Source organism: Homo sapiens, chromosome 15, assembly GCF_000001405.40.
Source record: "Homo sapiens chromosome 15, GRCh38.p14 Primary Assembly".
Lineage (NCBI taxonomy): Eukaryota > Metazoa > Chordata > Mammalia > Primates > Hominidae > Homo > Homo sapiens.
The window spans coordinates 64761597-64784697 of record NC_000015.10 but is presented as its reverse complement, the minus strand read 5'-3'; the positions used below and the strand labels follow the sequence as shown (position 1 = coordinate 64784697).

At 52.4% G+C, this 23101-nt stretch overlaps 1 protein-coding gene and 1 non-coding gene across 5 annotated transcripts in view, besides 5 other annotated features; both read left to right on the top strand.

Moving 5' to 3' along the window:
- Positions 7556–8401: an enhancer, noted in NCBI's record as "H3K27ac-H3K4me1 hESC enhancer chr15:65068496-65069341 (GRCh37/hg19 assembly coordinates)". NCBI's record gives its function as "activates a minimal SCP1, AML or CMV promoter by ChIP-STARR-seq in naive H9 embryonic stem cells {active_cell/tissue: H9 hESC(naive)}" and the evidence as "EXISTENCE:reporter gene assay evidence [ECO:0000049][PMID:30033119]".
- Positions 8402–9248: an enhancer, noted in NCBI's record as "H3K27ac-H3K4me1 hESC enhancer chr15:65067649-65068495 (GRCh37/hg19 assembly coordinates)". NCBI's record gives its function as "activates a minimal SCP1, AML or CMV promoter by ChIP-STARR-seq in naive H9 embryonic stem cells {active_cell/tissue: H9 hESC(naive)}" and the evidence as "EXISTENCE:reporter gene assay evidence [ECO:0000049][PMID:30033119]".
- Positions 8684–8933: a silencer, noted in NCBI's record as "silent region_6538". NCBI's record gives its function as "represses an Ori minimal core promoter by ATAC-STARR-seq in GM12878 lymphoblastoid cells {active_cell/tissue: GM12878}" and the evidence as "EXISTENCE:reporter gene assay evidence [ECO:0000049][PMID:35858748]".
- Positions 9109–23101, top strand: part of RBPMS2 (RNA binding protein, mRNA processing factor 2) — a 35699-nt gene continuing 21706 nt past the window's right edge. For 2 of the 4 annotated variants that reach the window (NR_138350.2, NM_194272.3), the window contains exon 1: positions 9109–9465. Coding sequence is in view for 2 of the 4 variants with exons in the window: in NM_194272.3 (NP_919248.1) it covers positions 9379–9465 (87 nt within the window). In the remaining 2 variants the exon portion in view is untranslated. Of the gene's footprint in view, positions 9466–9954; positions 10043–10246; positions 10265–23101 lie in introns of those variants that run through there. The other 2 variants (NR_138363.2, XM_047432446.1) reach the window with 2 other exon arrangements.
- Positions 13057–13558: an enhancer, noted in NCBI's record as "H3K4me1 hESC enhancer chr15:65063339-65063840 (GRCh37/hg19 assembly coordinates)". NCBI's record gives its function as "activates a minimal SCP1, AML or CMV promoter by ChIP-STARR-seq in primed H9 embryonic stem cells {active_cell/tissue: H9 hESC(primed)}" and the evidence as "EXISTENCE:reporter gene assay evidence [ECO:0000049][PMID:30033119]".
- Positions 20070–20955: an enhancer, noted in NCBI's record as "H3K27ac-H3K4me1 hESC enhancer chr15:65055942-65056827 (GRCh37/hg19 assembly coordinates)". NCBI's record gives its function as "activates a minimal SCP1, AML or CMV promoter by ChIP-STARR-seq in naive and primed H9 embryonic stem cells {active_cell/tissue: H9 hESC(naive and primed)}" and the evidence as "EXISTENCE:reporter gene assay evidence [ECO:0000049][PMID:30033119]".
- Positions 22183–22311, top strand: MIR1272 (microRNA 1272). Its single transcript, NR_031674.1, has one exon. It is a non-coding gene; the product is annotated as a microRNA 1272 (primary transcript).

Below are 23101 nucleotides of genomic sequence, written 5' to 3'. Positions count from 1 at the left end.
GCGAGACTCCGTCTCAAAAAGAAAAGAAGTCAAAGGCCAAGTATTGAATAAATGTTAATTATCACTAAATTGTTATCATTATCTGACAACAATACTACTCTAATGAGAGCTAGAGGTTTGGCTGTGGAATGAGCAATTTGGGGTGGGGGATATGAGTTGCTTCTCCTCCAGTTCAGGCAAAGGTTGGATTAGCTTCTGGTAGAGATTCAAGTGTTTAGCACAGACAGTTGGATTCGAGACCTAAGGTTCTAGTTGTGGGGGTACAAGGAGATTTCCAAGGCCTGTTCCCAGAGATTTGGATGTAGCTGTTTTTAGATGGGACCCAGAAATCTTCTTTTTTCCAGTGGAAAGGTTTTACTCTGTTACCCAGGCTGGAGGGCGATAATGCCATCATAGCCCACTGTAGCCTGGAACTCCCAGGCTTAGGTGATCCTCCTAACTCAGCCTTCTGAGTAGCTAGGACTACAGGTGCAAGTTACCAAGCTTGGCTAATTTTTTTGTATATTTTGTAGAGATGGGGTTTCACTATGTTGCCCAGGCTGGTCTCAAACTCCTGAACTCATGCGATCTGCCTGCCTCAGCCTCCCAAAGTGCTAGGATTACAGGTGTGAACTACCATGCCTGGCCCTGAAATCTGTCTTTTTCAAAAGGCAATTCTGGACTGCAGCCAAGTGTGGGCTCCATTGGCTTGGCTGACCTCTAGAGACCTTTTCCGTTGCACAGGCTGAAGTGCAGTGGTACTATCACAGCTCTCTATAGCCTCCACTTCCAGGACTCAAGCAATTCTTCTACCTCAGCCTCCTGAGTAGCTGAGACCACAGGCACACACCACCATGCCCAGCTAGTTTTTTGTCTTTGTTTTTTTGAGACGTTGTCTTGCTCTGTCGCCAGGCTGGAGTGCAGTGGTGCGATCTCAGCTCACTGCAACCTCTGCCTCCTGGTTCAAGCGATTCTCATGCCTCAGCTTCCCGAGTAGCTGGGATTACAGGCGCGCACCACCACACCCAGCTAATTTTTGTATTTTTAGTAGAGACGGGATTTTACCATGTTGGACAGGATAGTCTCGATCTCCTGACCTCATGATCCGCCTGCCTCAGCCTCCCAAAGTACTGGGATTACAGGCGTGAGTCCCTGTGCCTGGCCTAGTTGTTTTTTTTTCCTTATAGAGATAGGGTTTTGCTACGTTGCCCAGGTTGGTCTGGATCTTTTAGCCTCGAGGGATCCTCCTGCCTTAGCCTCCCTAAGTGCTAGGATTACAGGTGTGAGCCACCGTGCCTGGTCCTAAGCAGCTTCTGCATAGATTCTATGACCTGTGGTGCCCTAACACACCACTGGGAAGTATTCCTTTGGGTTAGGCATTGCCCTCTCCCCCTACTTCCTCCTTAAATTTCTAAGGCCTTAGAGAGGATGAGTGCACCCTTCCCCTCATGGGCAACAGACTCTTCTGGATGGTAAAAAAGGCAGTATAGGAGGGCATAGGCTCACATTGCCACCTTCAGTGGTGAGGATAGAGATAGCTCATCTTCCCTTCTCACCCTATCCCACCTCATTCCATGTGGAGCCCCTGTCCCTGAGACTGTCAGTTGCCCCACTGGACTCTAGTCAAGTGTAACAATTCCTACTTTAAGTCCCTTAGAAAAGTAGCCCGGTAGAGCCAGCCTCCCGGGCATGCTGGGCAATTCCGCAGTTGGTCGGGCCCAGAAGGCCCTCTCCCAGGCTCTGGGAGGACAGAGACTCAGGCAGGGAAGCAGGCCAGAGAAGCTTTCAGTGACCTTTGGTTCCCTGGGAAGGACTCAAAACCAGTAAAAGTTTAGCAAATGTCATTAAATTGTTGCCAGAACTTAAAATTCATTTTAAAAAATGCACACGCATGCACACACACACACACACAAAGACTTTCTAGAGGATAAAAGATCATTTGGAGGGGTGTATATGAAAATCTATTTGATTAGGTTTGATTTTTTTTTTTTCTTAGAAGGAAAGCTTCTAAGCTACCTGCTTTTGAAATTAAACAGAAAGTATTAAGTGAACTCAGTACTTTGCTGTGTAACTTCAAGCTAGTTGATTTTGGCCGCTGAACCTCAGTTTCCCCAACAGCAAAGGCTGTGGTTTCATAGGAACTGGCAGTGAAGCAGGGCGTGGGCCCTGTGGTTTCATAGGCCCTGGGTGCTGAGAGGGAGGTGTGAGTAGGGAGCTCAGGGTTCAGATAGAAACCTTTGGCCTGCCAGACATCCCTTTGGGGTTTCTCTTTGTTTTTTAATCCTGGGTCCTCTCCCCATTCAGGTTCCTGGCATCTCATTCTCCCTCCCATCTTCAAAGAGAGGAAAAGCAGCCATTGACATGTTAATGTAAAAATACTGTAGGGCATGGTGGCTCATGCCTGTAATCCCAGCACTTTGGGAGGTCGAGGCGGGCGGATCACAAGGTCAGGAGTTTGAGACCAACCTGACCAGCATGGTGAAACCCCGTCTCTACTAAAAATACAAAAATTAGCCGGGCATGGTGGCGAGTGCCTGTAATACCAGCTACTCTGGAGGCTGAGACAAGAGAATTGCTTGAACCCAGGAGAAGGAGGTTGCAGTGGGCCGAGCTCGCACCACTGCACTCCAGCCTGGGCAACAAAGCAAGACTCCATCTCAAAACAAAACAAAACAAAACAAAACAAAGCAAAACAAAAAAAAACGCTGTCAGAGATATTTCCTTGGTAACCCTAGCCTTTCAATCATTCAATATTCATTACTGAAACCCCTCTGCCAGGACCTGAACTGAGCTTCCAAGATTTGATTCAAAGGTGAAGAGACGCTATCCCTGTCCTCAGATGGTCCCCTGCTAATTTTCAGCTATGTGGTGGGGACAGGAGAAATAACATCTTTGGGAGATGGTGTGCAGGGAGGAGACACCACCTCTCAGGAAGGCTGGATCTGAAGTGAAGTTCTTGTGTTGTTCCTTTGCTGACTTTACAATCGCCCCTCCGGTTGTCTTGGGGCTTTGAGGACGTCAAAGAAGTTTCAGCATCAGGATCTCATTTAATTCTTACAGAAGCCTAGGGAACACTCATGAAAGCCTGCCTGAAAGGTGTCGCTAGTTCTCTAGTTTTACCTTGAGAAAACAAAGCCTTAGAGAGATTAAACTATCTGCCTATGGTCACACGGGTTGCCGTGGTGACCTGGACGCAGATCCAGGTCTTCTGGCACAGCTACTTTGGAAATACTGTTTGTCTTAGATTGGAACCTGGGATCCAGGTTCACAATGTGGCCCAGAGGAAGGCAAGGAGAGAAAGGGAGAGCTCAGGGATTTGGGGCTGAAATTAACCAGTTGCCTGGGCTTGGTGGCTCATGCCTGTCATCCCAGTACTTTGGGAGGCCATGGTGGGCGGATCACCTGCGGTCAGGAGTTTGAGACCAGCCTGGCCAACATGGTGAAACCCTGTCTCTACAAAAATACAAAAATTAACCAGGCATGATGATGGGTGCCTGTAGTCCCAGCTACTGGGAAGGCTGAGGCGGGAGAATCACTTGAACCTGGGAGGCAGAGGTTGCAGTGAGCCGAGATCGCACCATTGCACTCTAGCCTGGGTGACAGAGTGAGACTCCTTCTCAAAAAAAAGAAATTACCCAGTCTGTGACCTTGACCTGCAAACTAGCAGTGGACCCAGGGCAATAATCACAACCTCCAAGAGCTTACCATGAGCTCTTATCTTACTTAACACATTCTTGCAATTGTGTACTAGTATTCCGATTTTACAGATGAACTGACTGATACTAGCTGGCAACTTGCCCAAGGTTACAGAATCAGAATTCTATCACAGGGCTATTTCATGCTTTTCCCACCATCCATGCCATCTGCCAGTGGCTCGTGAAGGTCCCTTAATCCTATAACTAGGGATAGCAGGAACAATAGAAAGATTAACTGCTTGGGGCAGTAGCCTGTCCCCTTTCCCTCCAGAGACTTCTTGCACTTAAGTGGAGCTTAAACCTATAAACAATGGGCGGGCGTGGTGGCTCACACCTATAATCTCAGCACTTTGAGAGGCTAAGGCAGGCGGATCACTTGAGCTCAGGAGTTCGAGACCAGCCTGGCCAACATGGTAAAACCCCATCTCTACTAAAAATACAAAAATTAGCTGGGCATGGTGGCACGCACCCGTAATCCCAGCTACTCAGGAGGCTAAGACAGGAGAATTGATTGAACCCAGGAGATGGAGGTTGTGGTGAGCTGAGATCACACCATTGCATTCCAGCCTAGACAACAGAGTGAGACTCTGTCTCAAAATAAATAAACAAAAACCTATGAGCACCAAGAAAATATACCTCAGATGGCTGGGTGTGGTGGCTCATGCCTATAATCTCAGCACTTTGGGAGGCCAAGGTGGGTGGATCACTTGAGGCCAGGAGTTTGAGACCAGCCTGGGCAACGTGGCAAAACCCATCTCTACTAAAATACAAAAAGTATGGCCAGGCACGGTGGCTAACGCCTGTAATCTTAGCACTTTGGGAGGCTGAGGCAGGTGGATCACTTGAGGTTAGGAGTTCGAAACCAGCCTGGCCAACATGGTGAAACCCTGCTAGGGAAAGTTAGCTGGGCCTGGTGGGGGGATCCTGTATTCCCACCTACTTGGGAGGCTGAGGTGGGAGAATCGCTTGAACCCAGGAGGTGAAGGTTGCAATGAGCCAAGACTGTGCTACTACATTCCAGCCTGGGTGACAGGGCAAGACCCTGACTTCCCCCCAAAAAAATAAAGAAAAAGAAAATATAACTCAGACACATCTCAGCCTTTAAGCTTCAAGGTCATCCTCTCTACCTGCCTTTCTTCTTTTTCTTTTAAATAAAGAGGGGATCTTGCTATGTTGCCCCATCTAGACTTGATGGGCTCAATTAATCCTCCCAGCTCAGCCTCCAAAGTGGCAGGGACTATAGGCGCACACCACCAAGCCCAGCTTCTATCTGCCTTCTTATTGCCTAGGCTTTCCTGGTGGTGGGAAAGTTGGGGTCAGAATGGGGGCCTGCCCTGAAGTAGCCAGGCACACTCTCAGGAGTTGAGTTCCAGGGCAGTGTTTCCCAGGAGTGAGGCCATCTCTTTTCCCTACCCTAAGGATGAAATATTGAAGGATGATGTATGTACAGTACATCAAAGAGAAAGGGCCATTGGCTTCAGATAGCCCAGAAGCTCCAGGAATAGCCCAGTATTGGTTCAGCAAAGGTTTATTAAACACCTACTACTGAAAATGCCCACCATCATCTGCTCCTTGCTGGAGGCCAGGGGGCTGCAGAGGTTAAGGAGTTCTACTCACTCAGCAGGGTTTACAGCCACTCCTTGGAGTCAGAAAGCTTCCCATGTGGTAGGTGAGACTTCAAAACAAGGTATTCCCAGGTTCAACACGACACAGAGAAGGCACTCTGAGAGCACAGGGGAGAGAGAATGGGTACTGGGAAAGGTCTGGAAGCTGGGGGTGGAGAGTGAGGATGGGAGGATTCCAGACAAAAGGAATAGAAATTCGAGAAGCTCAGAGGTGATATGGAGCATGACAGTGGGGGAGGCCTGGGGCACTGAAGAGATTACTAGAGGCTACACTACTAGGTCATAGCTGGGGAGACAGAGATATAAGTTCCTACCCTTCAGATGTCTGAAAGAGTTGTACACCCCAAACTCCTCTCTCTAGCCTCTTTCACATCAGCTTCTGGTCAGCACCAATGGGTACGCCTGACTACTCATGAAGGTGCGGGCTGGGTGGGAGCTTTGTGTTTATATGATCTCCAAATCCATGTGAGATTGGAGATTCTGCCATTTCAGGGGCCATAGGGGTGCACAGAGAGGGAAAAGACAGTTGTTGCCTCCAAAGTGCTTAAGGGCTGGTCACACATACAGGAAACTTTCTGAGGCATTAAGAATGCTCATATAAGAGGGCGGGCTCATGCCTGTAATCTCAGCACTTTGAGAGGCCAAGGTGAGCAGATTACTTGAGGCCAGGAGTTCAAGACCAGCCTGGCCAACACGGTGAAACCTTGTCCCTACTAAAAATACAAAAATTAGCCAGGTGTGACAGCGAGTGTGGTGGCAGGCACCTGTAATCCCAGCTACTCAGGAGGCTGAGGCACGAGAACTGCTCGAACCTGGGAGATGGAGGATGCACTGCACTCAAGCCTGGTGACATAGTGAGACTCCGTCTCAAAGAAAAAGAAAAAAAAAAGAATCCTCATATAAAGTTTGCCTATGAAGGCAAAAGAGAAAATAAACTGGAAATAATACAAATATCTAACAAGAGACAGGTTAAATAAGTAATGGCAGTCTAATAAGGGGTAAGCATTTACTACAAATTATGAAGAACTTAAGAAGAAATACAGGCTGGGTGTGGTGGCTCACGCCTATAATACCAGCACTTTGGGAGGCCAAGGTGGGAGGATCACTTGAGCCCAGGAGTTCAACACCAGCTTGGGACAACATAATGAGAGGCCAGTCTCTTAAAAAAAAAAAAAAAAAATTAGCTGGGCGTGGTGTTGCACCTGTAATCACAGCTACCTGGGAGGCTGAGGTAGAAGGATCACTTGAGCCCAGGAGTTCAAGGCTGGAGTGAGCTGTGATTGTGCCACTGCACTCCAGCTTGGGTGACAGAGCAAGATCTTTTTTCTAAAAAAAGAAAAGAAGGCCGGGCGCGGTGGCTCACGCCTGTAATCTCAGCACTTTGGGAGGCTGATGGGGGCAGATTACAAGGTCAAGAGATCAAGATCATCCTCACCAACATGGGGAAACCGTCTCTACTAAAAATACAAAAGTTAGCTGGGCGTGGTTGTGCGTTCCTGTAGTCCCAGCTACTCAGGAGGCTGAGGCAGAATAGCTTGAAACTGGGAGGTGGAGGTTGCAGTGAGCCGAGATCGCATCACTGCACTCCAGTCTGGCAACAGAGCAAGACTGCATCTCAAAAAAGCCCCCAAAACAAAAAAAAAAAAAATGAAAAAAGAAAAGAAATGTAGTGATGGGGGTCAGTTGTGGCCCCTGTGTCATTTGTCACCTTTTTGGGCCTTAGCTCTCCCATCTATGGAGAAAACAGAGACCAGAATGGAGAAGAAGGGTGACCAGAATTACAAGATGAGAGGCTCTTCTTTGAAAAATTCAAATTAACCATATAATGGCTGAGTTCAGAAATCTGGCCAGGCTCCTTCTCCTGGAAAAAGCATGGGAAAGGCAGGATCTTGAGGGAAGGGAAGATTTTGGATTGATTAGGGGGAGCGGGGGAGGAAGAGGAAGAGGAAGAGTATTCCTGGGCCAAAGTTAGAGACAAACCTGATAGGAAGACCTATTCTAGGGGAGGGGATGGTGATCAAGCCCACAGCCAGATTGGACTGAGGCCTGTGGAGGATGGTAGGGGTATCTGAGGGTTCCCAAGGTTGGTTCTATCTGGAGATGCCTGAGGCTGGAGGCATCTTAAAAACTCTGGGTAAAGGTCTGGCTCCTACAGGCAGCAGCTCCCTCTTCATAGGGCCTGAGCCAAGTGTTGGCAACAGGGCTGATGGGAAACCAGGGTGCTCTTGGCCTTGCCACCAGCAGAAAATGGTCCCCAGCCCACAGTAGGTGCTCAATAATTATTTACTAAAGGAATGAGTATATCATTGGAAAGACATTGCCCATCTCTAGGCCTCAATTTATCTGTGAGATGGCAGGTCAGGATGGAGATTATAATTTACTGGGAAGACTAAGCCACAGCACAGTGATCCTGTGGTGCTAGTCCTACCTAATTCAGGAGGTCGACACACAGAGGTTCTGGGGGCTCAGGCACTTGTCCACGGTCTGGGATCCTAACCAGTCCGTGACTGCAAATCCAGCTTTTCTTTTTTCTTTTCTTTTTTTGAGACGGAGTTTCGCTCTTGTTGCCCTGGCTGGAGTGCAATGGCAAGATCTCGGGTCACCGCAACCTCCGCCCCGTCCAGGAGAAGGGGCACTGAGGAGGGACCCAGTTCTCCCGCGGCTCTGCCGGATTCAGGCTGCAGCGCTTCCAGCGCTCCCCGAGGTGGGTGCGGGTTTCTACTGTGGCAGCAGGGCGGGCCCCCATCGGCTGGGTTTTCAAATAGAAGAGAAAACCGACCCAGAGGCCGCGCCCTACTGACCTGCGCGGGGGTGCGGGGGGAGTCACGACGACCTCCCCCACCTCCCCCAGCCTCTAGGCTATTACATCCGTCCCCAGCCTTCGGGCTCAGAATAGGAGGCAGGGAAAGGTGTGAGGGGCACTGAGGTCGGGGGAGGAGCGAGAAGACCCGAAAGCCAGGCGTGTTGAGGGCAAGGTGGGCAACAGAACCTTCTTGGTCATTCGAGGCAGCCCTCGCTAATGACCATTGGGGTCCCAACACTCGAATCCCCACCTAAGTCCTATTCAGATAGTGACTGGGAGTGGGAAGGGAGTTTGAGATCCTAAGTCCCACCCTCTGGGCTGGGAGCCTGAGGCCAGAGAGGGGAAGTGATTTCCTCAAGGTCACTCAGCAAAACAGCGCCCAGCCCGGGCCAAAGCTCAGGTGTCTCCCAACCCCCTCCCCCCGGCCATCACCCCCAGAACTCGGTCCCCCGGAGCTGAGGTCTGCGCGACTGGATTTAGGGGCAGAATGAGTGCGTCGGGAACCCCAAAACCCTAGATCAAGATACAAGGGGAGTCGACGGCCCGGAAACCTCGCTGCGGGTGCCCTAAGCGCGAGGCCGCCCGGGCAGGGCCGCCCAGGGACCGGGGCGCTGGGTGCGGGGCACGGGGCTCCACCTCCCGCGGGCTGGGGCGCGCAGCGCGCGGCCCCTTTAAGAAAGTTCGCCGGGCGAGTTCATCAAAGTTTAAAAACTCGCCGTGGAGAAGGGCGCGGGGGAAGAGGAGAGAGGGAGAGCGCTGACCCAGGCGAGAGAGAGGGGAAAGGCCCGGCCGGAGGCCGGCGCCCCGCGGCCGGGGCCGGGGCGAGCCCACGGTGGGCGGTGGGGATTGGCTGCGCGTTCCCCCGGAGACCGCGCGGCGGGCGGGGGAGGGGGCTGGCCGGGCCCCAGCTGAGGCCGGTTCCGGCCCCGCCCCCCGCCGCCGGCGCCCGCCCCCTCCCCCGGCGCCCGCCCCCCGCCGCCGCTGCCGCCGCCGCCGCCGCCGCGGCGCACTCGCCGGTCGCAGTGAAAAGGCGGAGGCGGCGGCCCCTCCGGCTCCCACTGCCTCCCCCGCCGCACCCCCTCCCCACCTTCCGCACCCGCCAAACTTGATGTGACCCTGGCCCGACGCGGAGGCTGCCCCTCTCACTGCCCCGTGGGTCCCCCGCCACCCGCTCCGCACCCGCGAGCGCACCGCTCCCCGCGCCCCTTCCCACTTCCCGCGGGGCCGGCGCCGCGCTCGCCCTCGCGTTCCTTCCCGCCGCCCCCTCCCCCGCACCATGAGCAACCTGAAGCCGGACGGCGAGCACGGCGGCAGCACCGGCACCGGCTCCGGCGCGGGCTCCGGCGGCGCCCTGGAGGAGGAGGTGGGTCTGTGGCCCCGGGACTTGCCGGGTGAAGCGCACGCCAGGCGGGCGCGGGAGAGGGCGAGCGGGGCCTGCCGCGCCTCGCGGGGCCGGGGTGGCCATCGCTCCCGGCGCCTTCCCGCCGCTGCCCTCTCGCCCGGGTAGGAGCGGCCCGTGTCCGCGGGCGGGAGCGTGCGGCCTGGACTGCCCCGCCGGACAGGCATTGTCTCCCCGCCCTCTCGGGCTCGAGGCGGGCCGCGCGCGCCGGCCGCCGTCCGGGCGTCCCGCGGTGGGCGAGATGCGCCGCGTCCGTTCCATGCCTGCCGCCCGCGCGCCCCTTGCTCCCCACCCCGTAGCCGCTCGCCGCCCTCCTCCGAGGCGCACCTCCTGCGTGGCCAGGACCCCGCCTCGGCGGCACGGAGCGGAGCGGGATTAGCACGGCCCGAGGGCGGCACCCTCACTCCACTGCCTTTTCCGCCCTGACCCCCTCCCCGTGACCTTGGAGGCCTGGGCCGGCCGGCTCCTCGGTTCCTGCGAGCTGTTGTCATGGGGGTGGGCGGGCTTTCTTCACAGCCCCAGAACCTGGGCTTTGGCAGAGGTGAGCCCACAATTTAATTAGTTTGGAAGATGACTAAAGACACTCAGTTCGTCCTTCTCCTCTCTCTGGGTTTGTCCTGGCAACCAAGCCAGGACCCCAAAGCTGGCCTGGGTGGGATCCTGCCAGGAGGGGCGAAATCATCTCGTCCACCGGCCATGTGCGAAAGGGAGGGAGTGTAAGGCGGCTCCGTGGAACCACCAGCAGCTGGGTGGTTAATGGATGGTAGGGAGGATGTGTGTGCGGGGTGGGGTGCTGGATAAAAGCCTCAAAGATATCAGTGAATAGGGACGAGGAGCTAGGCTGGCGGAGACAAGAACTGGAGTAGAAGGGGACAGGCTTCGCAGGGCCTCTGGCCTCTGCTGCGTCATTCTAGGGGTGAGAGAGCCTTCCTGCCCCTGCCCTGGCATGTTCTCGCCCAGGAAACCAAGGGCTGGTTATCCACCTTGGGCGCCCTTCCCCTTGGCCTGGGGGAGAAACCGCAGAGCCCCTGGTGTGGACTGGTGTTGCCTCCTCCCCTTGTGCTGGGGGTTGGTGCAGAATGGCGCCGGTGGCCCTCGGCTGGGCTGGGCTCAGCGCCGCCAGCTCCCACTCGGCTATTCAGAGACCTTCAGCCAGCCCCAGTCGATGACAATCTAGGTTTGGATCTCCACTTTTTGGCGGAAGGGGAAGGGAAGAATATACAACTGTGACATCTGTCCACTAATGACTTAAGTGTGGTGGATTTGTTTGGGCTCCAGAGGCCTTGCCCTCCTTGTACCTTGATGCCAAAAGGCCCTTGGCTTTGGGGATCTTGCCCCCATCCTGACTCTACCTGGCTGTTAGAATCTCCCTTGACAGTTGGGGAGGGTGACAGGGTTGCTAGCGTACTTGGAGTCTCTGCTTGGCCCCCTGCTGTGGGCTGAAACTGGGGGAGAGCATGTCTCCTATAAAGCTGAATGGGGACCCAGAACCCCACTTCTGCTAAAGGGTCTACTTCAGTGGGGACTTCACACTGCCCAAGAGGCTGGTACTGGGCAAACCCTCAGACCCACTGCTGTTGGGTGAGAAGGGTGACCCATGTGGCCATTCTAAGTCTTGAAAAAAGCATTTGAGGTTTTAGCCACTCCTTTCTAAGTACCTTTTCTGGGAAAGAGGGCAGGATTCTCAAAAAGTGGAATCCCTACTATTCCTCCTTGGGAGTTGAGATGGCCTGCGGCCCTATGGTGGTTCCAAATCCGCGCACTTGGAAAAGGGCATGGTGGGCTCGCGTTTAGCAGAGGTCCAGAACAAAGGGTTCTGAGGGTCTCCTGGAGCCCAGTGTCTGTCTGGTCTGGTAAGGGAAAGGGTTATTCCCCAAGCCCTGGCCTAGTCTTCTGAATAGTGGGCCATGAGCCCCTGTGCTGGTGGCTCCATCTTGGATTGGTGGTGTAGGCTGGAACTGGAATCCTCCCTGTAGTTTAGATGCTCCCTAAGCAGTCAGTTCTGCAGCCCCTAAGAGCAACCATCTGGAGAATCAGCGTTAGCAGTGGTTTACTCCCATGGCTGACACAGGTGGCTTCTTCCCAGTCAACTCTTGGAGACTAGCGAGAGCAAGCCCAGGAAACCAAGGAATGCTGCTGCACGCCGTAAGACCTCAATTCCTAAAGGCGCTGGGTCACTGGCGAAGGGAGTGTATTTTTCATGGTTCTGGGAGTTATCAGTGAGGTTGCTTGTCCTGAACTGCTTTGGATAGCCTTGACTCTGCCTGCTTGACTACCTTACCTATAGGCTTTATCCATGTCATACGCATTAAGTTTTCTTTCTGGACCCAGGGGTTAAGGATACAAGTGAAAATTCTCAGCCTAGGAGGTCGGAAGGACTTGCCAGGAAGTGGTGGTAGGTGAAATGCAATGATAGATAAAATAAAGGCATATGAGCACATGGTACCATGGTGCTCCTGAGAGATTAGAGGTCAGCCTTCCCTGAGATGTGGGTGAGTAGGAGGAGCAAGGTTAGACCTGTGGGGGTGGAAAAGGCATTCCAAGAGGAGGGAGTCGCATGTATAAGTGAGGAGGTAGGTTTGTGTAACCACATGGCTTGTTTGGGTAACTACCTGGAGTTTGCTATATTGCAGCAATATCAGGCAGTGCAGCCATAATGAGAGTTTGGAATTAGGGCAGTAATGACTGTGGTATTACGGGAAAATTGGCATTTTTCTGCCACTTGGGAAGATGTGTTCGAAGCTTTGATACCCTTTGAAAGCTAAGGAGGGCAGTAAGGAATTAAGGGGAGGAGCTGAATGTCCCTCCCAATCTAGAGGTTGTGCTGTCCTGCAGGTAAGTCTTGACTGGAGCTGGGGACGACATGAGGTAATACAGTACATGAACCTGTCCGGGGCAGGCTGTATCAGTGCTGCCAAACTTCAGACCTAAATGTCCTGTCTTAGTGATTCTCAAGGGATAACTGGGTAATTACCATGTCTCTGAAGAGGGGTAAATGTGATTTCTATTTTGAAAGTGGAGACCTTGCTTTCATAATACAGTTGCTGTTGGCCTTCCATTTCTATGGGTTCCCTATCCATGAATCCAGTTGTAGATAAAAAATACAATAATAAAAAATAATACAAATAAATATAACAACTATTTACATAGCATTCACATTGTATTAGGTATTGTGAATAATCTAGAGATGAGTTAAAGTATCCAGAAAATGTGCATAGGTTATTTTTTTATTTGTTTGAAGGGGAGTTTCACTCTTGTCACCCAGGCTGGAGTGCAGTGGCACAATCTCAGCTCACTGCAACCTCTGCCTCCCAGGTTCAAGCAATTCTCCTGCCTCAGCCTCCTGAGTAGCTGGGATTACAGGTGCCCGCCACCATACCTGGCTAATTTTTGTTTTTTAGTAGAGACAGGATTTCACCATGTTGGCCAGGCTGGTCTTGAACTCCTGTCCTCAGGTGACCTGCCCACCTCAGTCTCCCAAAGTGCTGGGATTACAGGCCTGAGCCACGGCGCCCAGCCTTGTTTTGTTTTTGAGACAGTCTCTGTTGCCCAGATTGGGGTGCAGTGGCGCAATCTCGGCTCACTGCAACCTCCTCCCAGGTTCAAGTGATTCTCCTGCCTCAGCCTCCAGGATTGCAGGTGCACGCCACCATGCCTGGCTAATTTTTGTATTTTTAGTAGAGACGGGGTTTCACCATGTTGGCCAGGCTGGTCTTGAACTCCTGACCTCAAGTGGTCCATCCAGCTCGGCCTCCCAAAGTGCTGAGATTACAGACGTGAGCCACCGTGCCCGGCCTGTGCATAGGTTATATACAAATTTTATATAAGAGACTTGAACATCTGGAGATGTTGATATCCAAGGGGGAACCCTGGAACCAATCCGCCTCAGATATCGAGGGACAACTAAACGGTACGAGGTGATACTAAGTTATAGTAATTTTTAAAAACCACTTTTTTGAGGTATGATTGGCATATATAAAGGTGTATATTTAGTGTATACAACTTGAAGAGTTTGGAGATTGTTAAAGTAATTTTTAACTGGGGGGCACCCCTGGAAGGGGGAGAGTGGTATTTATACTATTGGGTTGAGGGAGGATATAAGTTTCTTAAGAGTTAAAAAAGTTTTTGCCAGCTTAATGGTAAGCTATAGAAAGGCAGGGGTTAATGGCAGCTAAGGGGGCTACAGTTTGACCTGAGGGGCTTTGCCCTTCCCTGCCCTTCCACCTCATCCCAGTGTGGCTGGGACAGGGCTGCTGCTTGCAGGCCTGGTATCCTAGAGCCCATCATGTGTCCTCAGAGGGGTGTCAGGAAGCAGCCAGAGCCCTGGGACCACTGGGTGGCTTGAGGTCAGCCCTCCCTGAGATGTGGGTGAACAGGTGCTTAGACTTGTGTGGATGGAACGGGGAGGGGGGTGTGGGAGGTGGGGGATAAGGCACTCTAGATGAGTGCGAGGTAATTCCTGGATCCAGTGTGCTATTTGGGCACCTCCCTTTTCTTTAACATCAATAGCATTTGAAAGCATCTGGGACATCTTGGTCTGCAGGCTTTTTTTGAATATGAGGGAATGGAGGCTTCTCTGTTTCTGGGCACTCACCTAGAAGCCCTGCCAGGCATATAGCAGTAGGAGGTCAGGTTCCCCTCCTCACTGGGAGTTATTGTGGATGTGTCCCCTCTGCCTAAGTAATCTAAGGGAGAGGCTGTACTAATAATAATGAACCTGTATGTTGTATTTATGCCAGGCATTGTTATATGTTCTGCACCATTTTAACTCTTAATCTTTGTAAGAGCATTATGAAGTACTTACATTATTATCACCATTTCATAAATGAGGAAAGTGAGGCACAGAGAGGTTAAATAACTTTCATGTAGCTATTAAGTGGGGAGGTTGGGATTTGAACCCAGAGTTTGCTCTTAACCACACAGTATACTGCTATTGTGTTTTATATTAGGGTTTTTGGTGAGACTGGAAGGCAGGGGGAGAAAGGTATCTGCAATTTTCTTTTTTTTTTCTTTTTTTTGAGACGGAGTCTCGCCATGTCACCCAGGCTGGAATGCAGTGGTATGATCTTGGCTCACTGCAACCTCTGCCTCCCAGGTTCAAGCGATTATCCTGCCTCAGCCTCCCAAGTAGCTGGGATTACAGGCGCGCACCACTACGGCCAGCTAATTTTTATATTTTTAGCAGAGACGGGGTTTCACTGTGTTGGTCAGGCTGGTCTCGAACTCTTGACCTCCTGATCCTCCTGCCTCGGCCTCCCAAAGTGCTGGGATTACAGGCGTGAGCCACCGCGCCCAGCCGGGTATCTGCAATTAAAGTTTCTAATGGCTGAGTTTTGGGTGATGCCAACCAGAAGCCCAGAGGCTGACTCCGGACTAGTTTCCTTTGGGCTGGTGGCATCCCAAGATGGGTGATGGGAGCTGTCAGCCCCTGCCAGGAGGGGCCTTTTATCACAGATATGATTTAGAGTTGCCATTGCACGAAGATAATAAACAAACCAAGCCAGTTTTATTTTATTTTTATTTATTTATTTATTTTTGAGATGGAGTCTCGCTCTGTCGCCCAGGCTGAAGTGCAGTGGCGCGATCTCAGCTCACTGCAAGCTCTGCCTCCTGGGTTCACGCCATTCTCCTGCCTCAGCCTCCAGAGTAGCTGGGACTACAGGCGCCCGCTGCTACGCCCGGCTAATTTTTTGTATTTTTTAGTAGAGATGGGGTTTCACCGTGTTAGCCAGGATGGATTTTATTTTTTAAATTCTTTTTTTTTTTTTTTTTGAGACGGAGTTTCGCTCTTGTTGCCCAGGCTGGAGTGCAATGGCGCGATCTCGGCTCACCGCAACCTCCACCTCCTGGGTTCAAGCAATTCTTCTGCCTCAGCCTCCCAAGTAGGGGGATTATAGGCATGTGCTACCACGCCCAGCTAATTCTGTATTTTTAGTAGAGATGGGGTTTCTCCATGTTGGGAGGCCTCGGCCTCCCAAAGTGCTGGGATTGCAGATGTGAGCCACTGCACCTGACCTAAATTCTTTTTTAAAAAATCTATATCCTTACACATCTTGCATATTTTTAAAATTCTTTTTTTTTTTTTTTTTTTTTTTTGAGACGAAGTCTTGCTCTGTCGCCCAGGCTGGAGTGCAGTGGCACGATCTCTGCTCACTGCAAGCTCCGCCTCCCGGGTTGACGCCATTCTCCTGCCTCAGCCTCCCAAGTAGCTGGGACTACAGGTGCCCGCCACCATGCCCGGCTAATTTTTTTGTATTTTTAGTAGAGACGGGGTTTCATCGTGTTAGCCAGGATGTTCTCAATCTCCTGACCTGGTGATCCACCCACCTTGGCCTCCCAAAGTGCTGGGATTACAGACATGAGCCACGGCGCCCGGCCTTAAATTCCTTTTTTTTTTTTTATAGACGGGGTCTCTGTTGTTGCCCAGGCTGGAGTGCAGTGGCATGATCATAGCTCACAGCAGCCTCGATCTCCTGGGCTCAAATGATCTTCCCACCTCAGCCTCCCTAGTAGGTAGGACTACCAGCACCATGCCCAGCTAATTTTTTTTTTTTTCCTCGAGACAGAGTCTTGCTTTGTTGCCCAGGCTAGAGTGCAGTGGCGCAATCTCGGCTCACTGCAATCTCTGCCTCTTGGGTTCAAGTGATTCTTCAGCCTCATCCTCCCGAGTAGCTGGGGTTACAGGCACCCGCTACCACACCTGGCTAAGTTTTGTATTTTTAGTAGAGATGAGGTTTCACCATGTTGGCAGGCTGGTCTCGAACTCCTGACCTTAGGTGATCCGTCTGTCTTGGCCTCCTAAAGTGCTGGGTTATAGGTTTGAGTCACTGCACCTGGCCTCGGCTAATTTTTTGTAGAGACAGTGTCTGCTTTGCTGCCCAGGCTGCTCTCGAACTTGTGGCCTCAAACGATTGTCCTGCCTTGCCTCCCAAACTGCTGGGGTTACAGATGTGAGTTGCCACGCCCAAGCAGTTTTATTTTAAATTCTCTACAAATGGCACACTTACTTATTTCCTGTACCTGGGCGTGACTACTTTCACACACTCCTCCACTACCCATTGCTTTGGGCATTTTAACTAAAGAAACGATTCTTGCTCTAAAGAGCCATTTGGCTGATATTCTGGGGGACATTCTTTTGTGTCTCGTTATCCCTTCCTTTTCCACATACGGGCAATCTGTTTAGTCTGCCCCAGAGAGAACCAGTTTCTAAATCCCACTCAAGGAGGCCAGCCAGGCATGTTGGCTCATGCCTGTAATCCCCTGCATTTTGGGAGGCCAAGGCAGGAGGATCACTTGAGCCTGGGAGTTCAAGACCAGCCTGGGCAACATGATTAAACCCCGTCCTTACAAAAACAAAAAAGTAGCTGGGTGTGATGGTGCATGCCTGTAGTCCCAGCTACTCAGGAGGCTGAGGTGGGAGAATGACTTAAACCTGGGAGGCAGGGGTTGCAGTGAGATCGTGCCACACTGCACTCCAGCCTGGGTGACAGAGCGAGACCTTGTCTCAAAAGAAAAAAAAATCCCACTCAAGGCTGGGACATGCTGGCTTCCTCCTCCCCATGTCCAGGGTGGGACTGGCAAGCGCCGTAAGTAGAGGAAGCCATGGCTGGTGGGTGCTGAGCCTTTGCTTGGCTCTCATGCTCTGAACCCTTTTATCCTTCGGGGCCTCAGGACAATCCTGCGAGCTGGAGGCAGGGTGAGTCCTGCCTGCCCTGAGTACTGAGCTCCTGGTCCAAGATTACCCAGAACTGAACTACAGTGCTGGGTTCTGGATCTGCTCTGGCATTGGTTATGGGCAGCAGCGACATCTGGTGTCACGTCACTTCCTCTGTCTTCCGCCCATGGCTGCCACAGAAGGATCCACACGCCTCTGGCAAACCATGAGGCAGTGGGGCAGAACCTGTCCCCTACACTTCAGAAATGATGCTGCCTAGCTGGGCATGTTGGCACACGCCTGTAGTCTCAGCCTGTCAGGAGGCTGAGGTAGGAGGATCGCTTGAGCCCGGGAAGTCGAGGCTGCAGTGAGCCAGTATCCCACCACTGCACTTGAGCCTGGGTGATAGAGTGAGAGCCCCTGTCTCAAAAAAAAAGAGAGAAAAAAAAAGTAAAAAACCGAAAAACTCGGTGGCTTATGCCTGTAATTCCAGCACTTTAGGAGACTGAAGTGGGTGGATCACTTGAGCCCAGGAGTTCAAGACCACCCTGGGCAATGTGGTGAAACCCCATCTCTACTAAAAATACAAAAATTAGCTGGGTGTGGCCGTGAGCACCTGTAATCCCAGCTACTCAGGAGGCCGAGGCAGGAGAATTGCTTAAACTTGGGAGGCGGAGGCCACTTAATGAGACTTGGTCTCAAAAAACAAAAACAGGCCAGGCACAGTGGCTCAGGCCTGTAATCCCAGCACTTTGGGAGGCTGAGGCAGGTGGATCACGAGGTTAGGAGATCGAGACCATCCTGGCTAACACGGTGAAACCCAGTCTCTACTAAAAATACAAAAAAAAAATTAGCCGGGTGTGGTGGCAGGCGCCTGTAGTCCCAGCTACTAGGGAGGTTGAGGCAGAAGAATGGCGTGAACCCGGGAGGCAGAGCTTGCAGTGAGCTGAGATTGCGTCATGCAGTCCAGCCTGGGATACAGAGCGAGACTCCATCTTAAAAAAAAAAAAAAGCCACCATTAAGTCAGAACTGTGGGCAGCCTATGAGGCTTCATATGCCAGAACCCGTCCACTGCCTGTCCAGGCACTGGCATAGCCTCCTTGTATTCTGCTTCTTCCCATATTCCACCCTTTGATGGAGAGAGTACGGTTACTTCTGATACGTGCCAACACTAGACAGGTGACAGGATTGTTGGGCCCTCCCTTCCTGAAGAGTGCACTGGTGGCTGTATCAGCGTTGGAGGCCTCTGGAGTGCAGCAGGGCCTGGGTGTGGTGGGAGCGTTTGCCTAGGCGCATCTGCCTTGGCTGTCAGTCAACTCACGGCCAACTGAGCAGAGGCTCTTGACTGTCACAAGCTATCAAGGCCACCTCCAACCTCCAAGGAGGACGGACAGAGCCTGACTTGGACCAGGCCATGGCAGAAGTCTGGAGTACTTCGCCCTTCTTTGTGGTTAACCAACCTCCCCCTCCTCAACTATCTTTTAGTGCAGGTAGGGGCAGGGAGTTAGGAGAGGATACTGGCATAGGAGCTGAGACCATTTTTTTTTTTTTTGAGACAGTCTCGCTCTGTTGCCAGGCTGGAGTGCAGTGGCTCAGTCTTAGCTCACTGCAACCTCCGCCTCCCAGGTTCAAGCAATTCTCCTGCCTCAGCCTCCTGAGTAGCTGGGATTACAGGTGCCTTCCACCATGCCCAGCTAATTTTTTACACTTGATCTTAGCCAAAAGGCAGAGAAGCGATCTGGCTAATTTTTTGTATTTTTAGTAGAGATAGGGTTTCGCCATGTTGGCCAGGGTGGTCTCGAACTCCTGACCTCGTAATCCGCCCACCTCGGCCTCCCAGAGCGCTGGGATTACAGGTGTGAGCCACCGTGCCTGGCCCATTTTTGAAGAACTATTGATGAAAAGGCTCTGCACCTTCCAGTTTTTGCCCAGACTGGTCCCCCCCCGCCCTTTTTTTTATTCTGACACAGGATCTCGTTTTGTTGCCCAGGCTGGAGTGTAGTGGCATGATTACGGCTCACTGTAGCTTCGAGCTCCTGGGCTCAAGCAATCCCCCAGCTTCAGCCTCCTGAGTAGCTGAGACCACTGGTGCATGCCACCATGCCTGGCTAATTTTTTTTTTTTTTTTGAGACGGAGTCTTGCTCTGTCGCCAGGCTGGAGTGCAGTGGCGTGATCTCATCTTACTACAGCCTCCACCTCCTGGGTTCAAGGGATTCTCCTGCCTCAGCCTCCCGAGTAGCTGGGACTACAGGTGCACACCAACACGCCGGGCTAATTTTTGTTTTTTGCTTTTTTTTTTTTTTTTTTTTTTTTTGAGACAGAGTCTCGCTCTGTCGCCTAGGCTGGAGTGCAGTGGCGCAATCTCGGCTCACTGCAACTTCCGCCTCATGGGTTCATGTCATTCTTCTGCCTCAGCCTCCTGAGTAGCTGGGATTACAGGCGCACGCCACCATGCCCAGCTAATTTTTTTGTATTTTTAGTAGAGACGGGGTTTCACCATGTTGGCCAGGCTGGTCCCGAACTCCTGACCTCGTGATCCGCCCGCCTCTGCCTCCCAAAGTGCTGGGATTACAGGCGTGAGCCACCGTGCCTGGCCAGTTCTTCTTTTTTTTTTTTTTTTGAGACGGAGTCTCACTCTGTTGTCACCCAGGCTAGAGTGCAGTGGCGTGGTCTCAGCTCATTGCCAGCTCCACCTCCCGGGTTCACACCATTCTCCTGCCTCGGCCTCCTGAGTAGCTGGGACTACAGACGCCCACCACCATGCCCGGCTAATTTTTTTTTACTTTTTTAGTAGAGACAGGGTTTCACCGTGTTAGCCAGGATGGTCTCGATCTCCTGACTTCGTGATCCGCCCGCCTCAGCCTCTCAAAGTGCTGGGATAACAGGCGTGAGCCACCGTGCCCCACCTCTTGTTCTTGCTGTACAGTCGTGGCCATATACATCCGGGCACAGCTTGGGATGGAGGGTCCTGCTATGTTTGTGGCAGGGAGCTGCAAATCAGAATGCAGGTTGCAGAAGCAGCTTCTACCTCTGAACAGAAACCCCCTCCTGACAGGAGCATCATGTTAGGAAACATCTCTCCTGTCAGGTTTCATTCGCCTCCGTCAAGTAATGGGCTAGGTGTGGTGGGCTCGGGGCTGTGTGTTCATGCCAGCATAGCATCATGTGGTTTAAGGGTTGGAGGTATTGATTTAGGAGCTGGCAGTGAGGGGTGTAGGGGTCCTCTAGCCCAATGCCTTGAATCTAGTCCCTTCTGTAGGGTATTGTATGGCAGTGGCGGCAACTGCAACCCTTGCCAGGCACACAGGCAGGCAGTAGATCTGTGTTAGCTGGCCACACAGCACCAAGAAGGCTGCAGGAGGTGGGTGGGCCTGGGAGGCTTCCATGCCGGGGTGCCCAGTGAACTTTGCCCCTGAAAGCCAAGTCCTGGCCCCTGGCTCTGTCTGGATCCTGATGGAAGGCACGCTTCAGCCAGCCTGCCCTGACACAGAGTTTGCAAGCACAGCTCATTCTCTGTTTGGTCTAGTTCCCTAAATGAGGTGTAGGTCAAGTGCACACAACAGGCTTTGACCAGGTGTGTTCCCACGACATTAAGGCTTCTCTTCCTGGGGCTGGAAGTGGCTTGGAGAATGAGGCCTGAAGCCTTCTTATACCTGCCCAGCCCTGTCCCTCCTTTCAGATAACTTTTCACCCTGGCTTAGTTCCCCCCAGTCTCTATTCCCCCCACCCCTACACACACACACCATTGGAAGTCTAGGACACATTGCACATTATGAGGAAGAGCCCCAAACTTTTCAGGCAACTTGGACTTAAGCCTCAGCTCTGCCACTGGCCAGCCAGGCACTTGATCCCTGGACTGACTTCTGCATCTGTAAAATGGGGACCCCATACCTGTTCTACCTGTTGCTCAAAGGACTATGAGCTTTGCATGCTGATGGTTTGTGTAAAGGAATGAAACTACAAGGTGCAGCCCAGGATGGGGCCTTATAGCCAGGCCCTGATAACATGGGATTTGGGGCAAGAGGGATAGCAGGGGCAGGCAGAACACCAGATCCCACCTGAACCTGGGACTTGTCCTTACTAGGTGAGGCTGTGGTGACACTGGTAAACTCTGGGGCCAAGTGTCCTCTAGATGGGGGCTTCTTGCAAGGGGATCTGGGCATCGTCCTTGCCTGGGTAGCTGAGCCACCCCAGAGCTCCTTGCAGGAAGCATGGGAAACATGTTGTGGAGTGTGTGGATCTAGGTTCACATCCACTGTCTGGCTGTGTGCTGCTTGCTGTCTTCCCCTGTGTCCTTATTCAGAGCCTTATAAGTCCTGGGTCTGCAGGCCATGTCGCCACATTCCATCCACCTCACGTCAAGTGGCCATACTCAGAGGGCCTTCTTTCCTATGGGAGGCGTAAGAGCAACCTGCTGGTGCCAAGCCTAAGCGCGGGGCCCAGGCAGGACCCAATCCCCCAAAACACTCCCACCCCCACCCCCTACCCACTACGGCGACCAAGACCACACCAAGGGTATGACTGCCCTGACGTTTCTGTTCGGCAGCCCTAACGTTGGCTCTGCAGAGACCCCCCTCAAGTTCCCAGGCCCAGGTCGGTCTAGGGCCCAGAGCTGGCTGGCCCCTGACTTCCATCTTGTCCCCTTCTCTTCTCTGTTCACACCACTTCTTTGCCACCTTGTGTGCAGAAGGAGTCACTGAAGCTCTGAGCAGATGGAGGATGGTGGCTGAGTCTTATCTGAGACTCAGTCGCATTCTACTGCCCTTTAAAACGCCTGGTGTCATAGAGTGTCAGTGTGTGACGGGACCTGAGGCGAGTCTACTCTACTGTAGCTGAGGCTGACAAGCGAAGGCCACAAAGCCACCTGCTATGGCTGGTGACAGGGCTGGGGCTTCACCCTGGGCTTCCTGACGTTGTTTTGAGGTTCTTTGTCTTTTGTTTGGAATCTCGTCAGTGGGTATCTTCTGAGCTGGACCCTGAGTGCAGTGTCCTGGTTCTCAGTGGGGTCTCTTTCCCTTGGGGAAGCCAGATCAGATCTGGGTGCGATGATGATGGCAGCAAATTCTGAAAACGTGCTCAGTGTCTTTATAACAGGAAAGCCGTAAACTTAGAAATGTAGGCTGCAGCTCGTGTGCTCTGTGGTCTGGGCTGGTAGGGATGGCTGGGCCTGCTCCAGCACCCATCCCCAACCTCCCCATAGCTAGTGGGGCACAAGGCCACTCACACTCAGCTGTGGGGAGTTGACAGTCTGTCAGTCAGTCTCGTCGTTGGCCTGTAACCATGTAGGATTCACCGTGGCATCATCCAGTGGGACCACCCCCCACCCCCCTGCCATCGCCACCATCACCATCATACCTACCCCAACCTTTTGCAAGATACTGTGTCTGTCCTCTTTGTTCATGAGCTGAAGACCAGGCCAGGCGTGAGTCACTTTGGGATTGCAGGAGGATGGCTTGAGTCCAGGAATTCGAGATGAGCTTGGGCAACATGGTGAGACCCCACCTCTACACAAAATTAAAAAATTAGCCGGGAGTTGGGCACAGTGGCTCATGCTTGTAATCCCAGCACTTTGGGATGCTGAGGCGGATGGATCACTTGAGGTCAGGAGTTTTTGAGACCAGCCTGGCCAACATGGTGGAACCCCATCTCTACTAAAAATACAAAAATTGTCGGGCATGGTGGTGGGTGCCTATAATCCCAGCTATTTGGGAGGCTGAGGCAGGAGAATCACTTGAACCCAGGAGGCGGAGGTGGAGGTTGCAGTGAGCCAAGATCATGCCATTGCATTGCAGCCTGGGCGACAGAGTGAGACTCCGTCTCAAAAAAAAAAAAAAAAAAAAAAAAGCTGGGCTTTGTGGTGTGCACCTGTGGTCCCAGTTACTCAGGAGATGGAGGCAAGAGGATCGCTTGAGTCCAGGAGGCTGCAGTGAGCCATGTTTGCGCC